The sequence below is a fragment of the Homo sapiens genome, chromosome 2, assembly GCF_000001405.40.
Source record: "Homo sapiens chromosome 2, GRCh38.p14 Primary Assembly".
Taxonomy (NCBI): domain Eukaryota; kingdom Metazoa; phylum Chordata; class Mammalia; order Primates; family Hominidae; genus Homo; species Homo sapiens.
This window is the reverse complement of record NC_000002.12, coordinates 76,595,056-76,607,379: the sequence shown is the minus strand read 5'-3', so window position 1 is coordinate 76,607,379 and position 12,324 is coordinate 76,595,056. Positions and strand designations below refer to the sequence as shown.

General features: G+C 37.0%; 1 pseudogene, besides 1 other annotated feature; it reads left to right on the top strand.

Moving 5' to 3' along the window:
• Nucleotides 4,388–5,016: an enhancer, noted in NCBI's record as "H3K4me1 hESC enhancer chr2:76829490-76830118 (GRCh37/hg19 assembly coordinates)". NCBI's record gives its function as "activates a minimal SCP1, AML or CMV promoter by ChIP-STARR-seq in primed H9 embryonic stem cells {active_cell/tissue: H9 hESC(primed)}" and the evidence as "EXISTENCE:reporter gene assay evidence [ECO:0000049][PMID:30033119]".
• RN7SKP164 (RN7SK pseudogene 164) lies at nucleotides 11,702–11,967 on the top strand (annotated as a pseudogene).

The following is a 12,324-nucleotide window of genomic DNA, read 5'->3' as shown; positions in this document are numbered from 1 at the left end:
GGCAATTTGCAGTTTTAATTCTTTGCTATAAAAAGACATATTTTACTAACTTCAAAATGATTAGAATCTCTAACTCAGTTATTATTGATTCAAAAAAATCTACCAGTTTCTGAGTAAATCCATTGCCTGGAAGATAATATATACTCAATAAATAATTTTTGCAGTTAAATTAAACCTCTACTAATTGAAGCTGAAGGATATGGTTGATAGAATTGCTAAATTGTGAATGTACTGTAACTTTTCTGGTGCCTAAAATATTATCAAAGCTTATTTTTATTCCAAGGATATATGTAAACCAAAAACATATTCATTAAAGTGCAAATGTTTGATGTAAAATAGGTTTATATATGCTATAGTGTATCTATAGGCATATATGTATATTAGATACAAATATAATTAAATGTTTTTATTATCTTGAACAACGTTTTCATTGAACAATCATCTATATCTCGATATAGCTATCATCAATGTGTGTGTGTGTGTGTGTGTGTGTTTATGTTTGCCTGCTTAGGTAGTCAAAGCCTTAAACACTCATGTAACACTCTGATGTCATGGTGTGTCAAATGGTCTTTCATATTGCAGCAATTTTTGATTTATTTCAATTCACTTTTGAGGGTATACATATGTGGAAGACATTTATAACTTTATTTTTAATTTTATATTTTATAAACAGAACTATATAAAATATTTGTTTACATATGTTTAATATGTAAGGGGAATATATATTTATAAATACATGACTATAAAGATCCTTTTAATCTAGTTATAGATTGTTTATCTTAAAGTATTATATTAGGCCCTTCTTGTATGGTTATGAAGAAATATCAGAGACTGAGTACTTTCTAAAGAAAAGAGGTTTAATTGGCTCACAGTTCTTCAGGCTATATAAACATGGCACTGACATCACTCTGCTACTGGGGAAGCCTCAGAAAGCTTTTACTCATGGCATAAGGTGAAGTGGGAGTAGGTACAGTACATATTTAAAGCAGGGGCCAGAGAGCGGGTGCAAGGAGTAGGTGCCACACTTTTAAATGAACAGATCTCCAGAGAACTCACTACATCTAAGACAGCACCAAGCCATGAGGGAACCGGCCCCATGTCCCAAACACTTCCCATCAGGCCCCACTTCCAACATTGAGGATTACAATTCAACATGAAGTTTGGGCAAATATCCAAACTATATCAAGTATATTTTGTCTGATATTATCATTATTCTTTCCATATTTCCTGTTAATTTCCTTATTTCCTATTAATTTCTATTAATTTCCATATTTCCTATTAATTTCCCATTTTTATTAATTTGCTTATATATGTAATGTGTCTTCATATTTACTTTTTAGAACATTTCTCTACATTATTCTTTCTGTGTGTGATTCTTGATTTTTTTTACAAATATTTCTTTTTATCTTTATGAATTTTTATTTTGCAATTTTTTTTCTATTGAGCTAGAATCTTTCTGAGGAAGATAGAAAATGCAGTAAATCTTCAATTTTTCTCAACAATACTGAATTCCAAATCACTGAAATGATCTGTGATTTCAGATCCCGTTTATTAATTGTTTCATACAGCTTGATATGTTTCTCATTCAAGAATTTCTTAGTATAATTTATTATTTAGGCCGGGCATGGTGGCTCACGCCTGTAATCCCAGCACTTTAGGAGGCCAAGGTGGGCAAATCACTTGAGGTTAGGAGTTCGTGACCAGCCTGAAAAACATGGCAAAATGCCATCTTTAATAAAAATACAAAAATTAGCCGGGCGTGGTGGTGCATGCCTGTAATCCCAGCTACTCAGGAGGCTGCGACAGGAGAATCGCTTGAGCCCAGGAGGTGAAGGTTGCAGTGAGCAAGATCGTGCCACTGCACTCAGCCTGGGTGACAGAGTGACACTCTGTCTCAGAAAAAAAAAATATATATATATATATTATTTAGTAAAAAGTTAACGTTAATTCTTTAAATGCAAACCTTAATTGTATTTTTTCATCAATATTAGCTTTTAATTGAATATGTCTTCCTTATTTTTGGTTTGTGTTTGATTCTTTTAATTTTCTTGATTGGTTGGACTATTTATTTAAGAATTTACTTTCCAGAAAAGGTAGTATGTTTTGTGGTTTATTTGTTTCAACTAATAGCCCATCATATCTTTCTATAAAATTTACATATTAACTATAATTTGACTGAGTGTTAATTTATGCTAAACTATGAAAATATTGAAAATGTTATCTTTCAATATTTAGTATTTGGGAAAGTAAGGCAGAATTAAATGTGTAATTTTTATATTTGTAAGCTATATATTTTTTAATCTGAGTGAATATAAATATTTTTATTTTGAAAATTTAAAAAATAAAATCACATTTTATTTGGTCAGTGTGTCTTTATTTAATATTATCTGGTACTTCAAATGCTCTTTTAAGTTGAAGACACCGATCTTTCCTAGAAAATGCCTTCTAAAATATTTATTTCAATATTTTATTCTTTCCTCTTTATATTTGCTGGTCTCCACTCTTATAAATTTCTATATTTTACAAATAGTATGTCTAATTATCTGTTGCTATGTTGTTTGGTTTAAAAAGTTTATATTATATTATCAATTGTAATTTTTCTAATATAATTTATCAAGTAAGAGATAAAGTTTTAAAAATCATTTTCAGCAAGAATGTTTTAATGAAATATTTTCCCTAAAATTATAAGTCAGTAGTTTATTCTTTGATTTAAGACTACCTATTTTTAATCCTGGTTTCTACCTTCTATGTGAGGAACTTAGATAAGTTACTCTGTCCTTCTAGTACAATGATGTCCTAACCTGATAAACTAGCATAATACTTGTATTTACTTTATTAAGCTATTACATAAATATAATATTTATGAAAGTCTCAGAAATGTGTAATAAATAGCAAACGAATGCCATTTGATTAATACTAGTAAGTTTTATTGCTTAAAAGCACGAATTACAACTTTTGGACTCATTTTCAGGTACTTCCATGTACTCTAACATTTTGCACAAGTTATGTAAACTCTTTTACTTCAGTTTATTCATCAGTAAAATCAAAACAACTGAAATATACCATTTGGTGGTACTTTAAGTAGAAGAAAGTAGTATACACTATATATAACCCATTTAACACATCCAGCATAGAATAATTACTTAAAAAAAAAAATCATTCTTCTTAGAACCCCTAACACATTGTCTGGAACATATTGGCAAATCAAACACTGGCTAAATTAATGAATGAACTTTCTATGTGATTGGATATTTATGTTATTTTCAATTTAACAATGATACAAAATTTCTGTGATTATCCCTCTAGATAGTCACACAAACACCAATATGAATAACTTATTGTTAATTCTAGATGTGAAATTAGTATACAAAATATTGCAATGCATATGTATCTTAATCATCTCCAAAATATTATACCAGTTTGCTTTCTAATTTGCATACCATGGCAGTTCTGAAATCATTGAAGATGATCACTTTTAAAAGTTTGCTGTTATACAATTTGAGAATAACGGTATCTTTTAACAATTCATTTTTTCTGTTAAGCTCAAGCTTTTTTTTCCAAAATGCCTGTTAGTCATCTATATTTCTTTTGTGATTCAATATTTCAGGCCTTGCCTCACTTTTATATTGAGATATTCCATTTTAAATTTTATTTAGAAAATTCTTTTTACAAAGCAAAAATATTAATTCACTGTCTTTCATAAAACTGTAAGCTATTTTTTTCCTATTCTATTAGTTTATTCTTTTGCCATTTCATGTAGTTTGGCTGTGTTCCCACCCAAATCTCAACTTGAATTCTATCTCCCAGAATTCCCATGTGTTGTGGGAGGGACCCAGGGGAAGGTAATTGAAACATGGGGGCCGGCCAGTCTTCCCTGTGCTATTCTCGTGATAGTAAATAAGTCTCACAAGATCTGAAGAGTTTATCAGGGGTTTCCGCTTTTGCTTCTTCCTCATTTTCTCTTGCTGCCACCATGTAAGAAGCACCATTTGACTCCCACCATGATTCTGAGGCCTCCCCAGCCATGTGGAACTTTAAGTCCAATAAAACCTCTTTTTCCTCCCAGTCTTGGGTATGTCTTTATCAGCAGTGTGAAAATGAACTAATACAGTAAATTGACATCAGTAGAGAGAGGAGTTGCTGAAAAGATACCTGAAAATGTGGGAGTGACTTTGGAACTGGATAGCAGGCAGAGATTGGAACAGTTTGGAAGTCTCAAAAGACAGGAAAATATGGGAAAGTTTGCAACCTCCTAGAGACTTGTTGAACGGCTTTGACAAAAATGCTGATAGTGATACCAACAATAAGGTCCAGGCTGAGGTGGTCTCAGATGGAGATGAGGAACTTAGGAACTGGGGCAAAGGTGACTCTTGTTATATTTTAGCAAAAAGACGGCTGGCATTTTGCTCCTGCCCTAGAGATTTATGAGACTTTGAACTTGAGAGAGATGATTTAGGGTATCTGGCAGAAGAAATTTCTAAGCAGCAAAGCATTCTAAAGGTGACTTGGTTGCTGTTAAAAGCATTCCGTTTTAAAAGGGAAACAGAACATAAAAGTTCAGAAAATTTGCAGCATGACAATGCAGTAGAAAAGAAGAACCAATTTTTTGAGAAGAAATTCAAGCAGACTGCAGAAATTTGCATAAGTAGCAAGGAGCCTAATGTTAATCCCCAAGACCGTGGGGAAAATGTCTCCAGGCCATTTCAGAGACCTTCACAGCAGTCCTTCCCATCACAGGCCTGGAAGCCCAGAAGGAAAAAGTGGTTTCATGGGCCGGCCCCAGGGTCCCAGGCTGTGTGCAGCTTAGGGACTTGGTTCTCTGTGTCCCAGCTGCTCCAGCCATGGCTGAAAGGGGACAACAAAGAGCCTGAGCTGTGGCTTCAGAGGGAGGAAGCCCCAAGCCTTGGGAGCTTCCACGTGGTGTTGAGCCCACAGGTGCATAGAAGTCAAGAATTGAGGCTTGGGAACCTCCGCCTAGATTTCAGAAGATATATAGAAACGCCTGGATGCTGGGGCAAAAGTTTGCTGCGGGGGCAGTGCCCTCATGGAGAACCTCTGCTAGGGCAGGGCTGGGGCACTGCCTAGTGGAACTGTGAGAAGAGGGCCACCATCCTCCCTCCTCCAGACCTCCGAATGCTAGATCCACCCACAGCTCGTACTGTGCACCTGGAAAAGCCGCAGACACTCAACGCCAGCCCATGAAAGCTGTCAGGAGTGAGACCGTACCCTGCAAAGCCACAGGGGTGGAGCTGCCTAAGACCATGGGAACCCACCTCTTGCATCAGCGTGACCTGGATGTGAGACCTGGATTCAAAGGAGATCACTTTGGAGATTTAAAATTTGACTGCCCCACTGGATTTTGGACTTGAATGGGCCCTGTAACCCCTTTGTTTTGGCCAGTTTCTCCCATTTGGAATGGCTGTATTTATCCAACGCCTATACCACCATAGTATCTAGGAAGTAACTAGCTTGCTATTGATTTTACAGGGTTATACAATTTCATTCAGCAATGTGTATTGAGTACCTACTATGTGCAAAGCCTTCACCTACATATTAGAATTACAATTGATGTGCAGGACATATATCAGAGTAGTGGAAAGCGAAATTTTCTGACTTATTCATGTGGTGGAGATTGGGTTTCTTCAGACTTGTAATTCCAGGTCTACCTTAATTTTTGTTAATGTCCTTATCAGTTTAGGAGTACCCGTGTCAGGTCACAAGCGCCAAACTTCAAAGCCCCAAAAATCAGATAATGAGTTACCTGTAATTCCCCACTGAGCAGTAAGCATTGCAAACAAAACCCCAAATCTCTACAATTTTTCACAGACTTTGTTATATGTATGTCTCCTGAAGTTAACTAGAACACTGCTGATGCCACAGTCCTGTAGGATAAACTATTGTCTGGATGATTGAATCTTGATACATTGGTAACAGAAAGACGCTTCTCAATTATGATGCAGAGTAATAGTATTAACCAATGGCATTATACTTAGTGGTGAAATAGTATAGGCGTTCTAATTACACTGAGAAACTAGACAAGATCAACTGGTATCACCTCTAAAGCATTTAATAGTGCTTTAGATATTTCAGCTGAAACAAAAGAAAAGAAAAAGAAATGTGAACTATTACAGCCACAACAATCTAATCACTATTTATAGATGAAGTGAGTTTATAGCTAGAAAACTAAAAAGAATCATATGGAAGCAAGTACTTTGTGCAGATAAAAAGTGAATATCAATATTTCCATATACAAATATCAATATTTCCCATAAAAAAATATAGCCCATTAAAATGGAGTCATATTATGTATACATTGTATAAATCTCTGATCAGAATACATTACAACATATCTTATTAAATATTTTACAAAAGTATAGATAGGAAGAATTACAAATGACTCAAATAAATGGACAAGTAATAAAAATAAAACAAAAATCGGGTGTTATAGGCATCTCATGCATCACTGTGGGTTTATATTGTTCTGAGATATAAATAGGCATCTCATGCATCACTGTGGGTTTATATTGTTCTGAGAAGTAATTTATCAACACATAACCAAACATTTAAAAATTCATATACTTATTGACTGGATAATACAGCTTTTCAGAACACATCGTACATGAAAAAAATAAGAATGTGTGCAGAGTCTTATCTAATACATAGAGCTTTATTCTTATACTAAAAATTGGAAGCAGCAGAAATGTCTAGGAGTAAGGGACTGATCGAATACATTATAGGCTTTTAATAAAATAAACTCTAATGCAACATTTGGTGTCAGGATGCAGTAAAATGTTTCTCGTTATGAAATATGAGACATATTTTAAATGGAGAAGTTCAATCACAAAACAGGTACTGTATGATTTCAGTTTAGTGGTGGTGCATGAGGCAGATTTGGATGTCTAATAAACATTCCAAATTTGATGTCACTGAGATAGCAGTGGAGTTGGTTTTCAATATCCATTCTCCATTCTTACTATAGTAATTGAAACCTTGAATTTTAGTTGGTCACTGGCTGCACAGCTAAAGACTGCAGCCTCCCAGGTAACTATTAGTTGTGTCTCTGTGACTAGGTTATGGACATGGGTACACATGTGGAAGCAACGTGTACAGATTCCAAGTCACCACTTTAAAGGAAAGGAGCATGCTGCTTCTTTTTCTCCATCTTGCTTCCTCGTATTTGGTTGTGTTCTTAAGACATCTTCAATGAGGGCAGAGCAAAAATAAATTCTGGTTCCCCAAGGCTTTGAAGCTTCCATTTAAGCCTCCAAATGGTCATGGTTAAACTTTTACAGTAGAAGGTATGCTAGTTATCAATTTATTGCCCCTTAGCTTCAAGTTGTCTTTTCTATGATGAAGAATTTGGACCCTGTAAATATTCCTTCTTTGACAGCCAGGACAATGTAAACTATCAGTAGATGGCGCTAGAGGGACACTTGAAGAGGACAACTTACTTTCTGGTTTTGATGTGTTGCTCTGGCCAGGCTCCTGCACTGCACTGTGTCTAGCAGCAACTAGCGGCCAAGAGCTTCCTAAGCACCTCAAATTGTGTACTTTTAGTAAGTCAGGTATGATCCTAAGATTCCTACCACTGAGAAGGGTTCCCTGATTTCAATGGAGTTGATGAAATCCAGGAGTAGCAGAGGCCAGGCTTAACCACAAAATACAAGAGGGGTATGTCTACTGGAAAGGGAAGCAGGCACATAGCAGTAATCAGAGTGCTTTGGCCTGGAGAGTTATTTGGCAGTTGCTAGTTGATCATGGTGTCTTTACTAATGAAGTAGTTGGACAGCCCTCTGGGGTATTTCTTGAACAATAGAACAGGAAAATAAAAACTCTAGATTTGGTGGCAAAAAAAAAAAAAAAAACTGACCTGAATAATCACAATATTGAATCCCAGCTTCTAATTCAGCTGTCTGATATGGTTTGGCTCTGTGTCCCGATGCAAATTTCATCTTGTAGTTCCCATAAGTCCCATGTTTTGCCTCCATTTTACGTATTTGTTTACTACTCAAACAGAGAAAAGCTTCATAAAAGCAGCAACTTTGTTTTATAAACCACTGAATTCCTAGCATCTACATTAAAGTTTCTACACATCAGCACTAGTGACATTTGGGGATGGATAATTTTTTGATGTGAGAGGATGTCTTGTTATTGTAGGATGTTCTGTACTATCCCCGGCCTCTACACACTAGGTATCAGTAGGCAAAAACTTATCCAGATATTTGCAAATGTCCTATGAAGGCAAAGGTGCCCTGGTTGAGAGCTGCTGATCTAGATTGAACAGAGGTAGCTCTTAATAATGAATGAATTAATTAATTAAAAATATGTACTTACATGCAGAAACAAGATTAGGATAATATATATGGATCTGTTAGTTGTGGGCCACTAATTGTGCATGTGTGCTTTTTGAATTTTGTAAATTTACCTCAGGATTGTTTTACAACTTTCACAGAAAAAATAAAGCCAATTAAATCTTGGAAAAATCAGCTTTGGGCTTCCGTTCTCAGTTCCTCCAGTCTATGTTTAACTCCTCTCTGCCATTAAGGATACTTGGGCTGAAAATTTTGTTTTTGAACTGAAGTAGACAATATGACCTTCTTCCTTTGCTTTCAAAAAGTTCTTCTCATCCCATATGATAGTTTTTCTCAGTTACTCTTATTCCCCAGGAGAAGGTTACAGAAAACTCTATCTGAAAAGTATATGACCACTGTTTCTACTGTTAATGGTTATTAAAAGCCAAAGGTAACTTGGCAAAAATAATTTAACAAGCCAACCTAGTCATTAATATTCACAGAACTAGAGTCCTTTGGCCTTCTTAATGTGAAATCTCAATCATGCAAAATGCAGAATACAGCAATGAGGTGATTAATCTGAACATTATCAGAAGCTAAAATAGATAATGGATAAAATTGAAAGTGGTATCAGTCATTCTTCACTTTCCTTTAGAAATATGAATTAGTCATGAAGGCCATAAAGTGAGTGCCTTGGTCAGAGGCAATGCTGTGTGGAATACCATGATGGTGAATAAGGCATTCCGTGAGTTCATGGATGGTAGTCTTGGCAGAAGCATTGCATGCAGGACAGGCAAACCCATATCCAGAGTAAGTGTCTATTCCAGTGAGGACAAACCTCTGCCCTTTCCTTGATGGAAGAGGTCCAATATAATCAACCTTCCACCAGGTAGCTGGCTGATCGCCCTGAGGAATGGTGCCATATCGAAGGCTCATTGTTGGTCTCTGCTGCTGGCAAATTGGGCACTCAGCAGTACCTGTAGCCAGGTCAGCCTTAGTGAGTGGAAGTCATGTTGCTAGGCCCAGATATAACCTGAATCCCTGCCATGATGGCCACTTTGTTCATAGGCTCATTGGGTGATGACAGGGGTGGCTGGGGAAAGAGGCTGAGTGGTGTCCACAGAATGGGTCATTCTATCCACTTGATTATTAAAATCCTCCTGCCACTGACACCACAAGCACTATTGCATCTGCTGGGTCATATGGCCCAAGTTGCAGAGCAGCTTGAACAGCAGCCTGGACCTGTTGCAGAGCCTTCTCCTGTTCTGGATCACATTCGAAACTGGCAGCCTTTTGGGTCACTAGATAAACGGGCCGGAGTAACACACCCAAATGAGGAATGTGTTGCCTCCAAAATCCAAACAGGGCCACTGGGTGCTGTGCCTCTTTCTTGGTTGTAGGAGGGAGCAAATGCAGCAACTTATCCTTCACCTTAGAAGGACTATCTCGACAAGCCCCACACCACTGGACCCCTAGACATTTTACTAAGGTAGAAGGTCCCTGAATTTTAGTCTGATTAATTTCCTATACTCTGGCACACAAATATCTCACCAATAAGTCCAGTGTGTCTGCTACTTCTTGCTCACTGGATCCAATCAGCATAATGTCATCAATGTAACCAACCAGTGTGATATCTGGTGGAAGCAAAAAGCGATCAAGTTCTCTCCAAATAAGATTATGACACAAAGCCAGAGAGTTGATATACCACTGAGGTAGGAAAGCAAAGATATATTGCTGGCCTTGCCAACTGAAGGCAAATTGCTTCTGTGGGCCTTATGGACAGCAATGGAGAAAAAGCCATTTGCCAAGTGAATGGCTAGATACCAGGTATCAGGAGATGTGTCAATTTGCTCATGCAATGAAACCACATCTGGTACAGCAGCTGCAATAGGAATCACTACATGGTTAAGCTTATGATAATCCACTGTCATTCCCCAAGATCCATCTGTCTTCTGCACAGGCTAAATGGGAGAGTTGAATGAGGATGTGGTGGGAATCACCACCCCTGCATCCTTCAAGTCGTTGATGGTGGCACTAATCTCGCAGTCCCTCCAGGGATTCTACATTGTTTTATTTTATTATATATGTATAAAATATATATTTTTTTAAATAGATTTACTATTTACTATGGCTTCCATTTAGCCTTTCCCACCATAATGATCCTTACCCTACCAGTCAGGGAGCCAGTGTGGGGGTCTTTCAGCTGCTCAGTATGTCCATGCTAATTATGCATTCTGGCACTGGGGAAATGACAGGATGAGTCTGGGGACCCACAGGACCCACTGTAAGTTGGACCTGAGCTAAAACTCCATTAATGACCTGACTTCCATAATCCTCTGCTTTAACTGGAGGACCACAATGACGTTTTGGGTCCCCTGGAATCAACATCAGCTCAGAGCCAGTGTCCAGTAGTCCGTGAAATGTCTGATCATTTCCCTTTCCTCAATGCGCAGTTACCCTGGTAAAAGGCCAGAGATGAAATTGCTAAATCATGATAGTTCTATTTTTAATTTTTTGAGGAATGTCCATGCTGTTTACCATAATGGCTGTACCAATTTATATTCCCACTAACAGTGTACTAGAGTTCCCTTTTATCCACATCCTCTCCAACACTTTTTTTTTTTTTTGCAATAGCCATTCTAACAGGTGTGAGGTGATATCTCATTGTGATTTTAATTTGCATTTTTCTAATTATTAGTTATATTGAACATTTTTTCCTATACCTGTTGGCCATTTATATGTCTTCTTGTGAGAAATATCTATTTAGATCACTTGCTGATTTCTAATTGTGTTTTTTCTTACTTTTGAGTTGTTTGAGTTTTTTATATATTTTGGATACTAACCCCTTATCAAATGTATGGTTTAGAAAGATTTTCTCCTATTCCATATTTTGCCTCTTCACTCTGTTGATGGTTTTCTTTGCTGTGCAGAAGGTTTTCTTGTTGCTGTAATTCCATTTGTCTATTTTTGCCTTTGTTGTTTGTGCTTTCAGATTCATATTCAAAAAATCATTGCCCAGACCAATGTCAAGGAGATTTTCTCCTATATTTTCTTCTAGTAGTTTTACAGTTTAGGCCTTATGTTTAAGCCTTTAATCATTTTGAGTTGCGTTTTGTATGTGGCATGAGATAAGGGTTTAAGTTCATTCTTCTGGATGTGGATATCCAGTTGTTTTAACACCATTTGTTGAAGAGATTGTTTTTTTCCCATTGTGCACTCCTGGCAACTTTGTCAAAAATTAGTTGAACATAAATGTGTGAATGTATTTCTGGTTTCTCAGTTCTTTTCCATTGGTCTATGTGTCTTAGGCCAGTACCATACTCTTTTGGTTACTCCAGCTTTATATCATATTTTGTGGTTAGAAATTTTGATTCCTCCAGCTTTGTTCTTTTTGCTCACGATTGCTTTGTCTATTTGAGGTCTCTTTTGGTTGCCTTCTTCCTTCCTCACAAATCCATGTGCATCCCTCCCCAGACTGTGCAGTCAGTTGAAGAAGACAATCTTCTCTGATAGAAGAGAATTGTTCTTCAGTCAAAGGTACATGTGTAGCTGTGCTCACTTGCTAGAACCTCTAAACAAGCCCTTAGAGCCCCTTTCACTCTGTTATCTTTCATGTGCTGACCAGAGGCAGAAGACTCTGGAATGGTAGGACCAAAAATTGATGGATCCAAAGTCTCTAAATTATCACAGAACGAAAGCCTCTTGCTGACCAGTAACACTTGTATGAGCCCTAAATAGAAATTCACTTACTTTGGGCTAAGATATTTTATTAGTCACAGTTCTCTAAAGAGACAGAATTAACGGGATAGATGAACATATGAAGGGGAGTTTATTAGGAGAAATGACTCACACAATCTCAAGGTGAAGTCCCACAATAGGCCGTCTGTAAGCTGAAGAGCCAGGAAACCAGTCCCAGTCCCAAAACCTCAAAAGTAGGGAAGCTGATAGTGCAGACTTCAGTCTGTGGCTGAAGGCCTGAGTGCCCCTGGCAAATCACTGGTGAAAGTCCAAGAGTCCAAAAGCTGAAGAACTT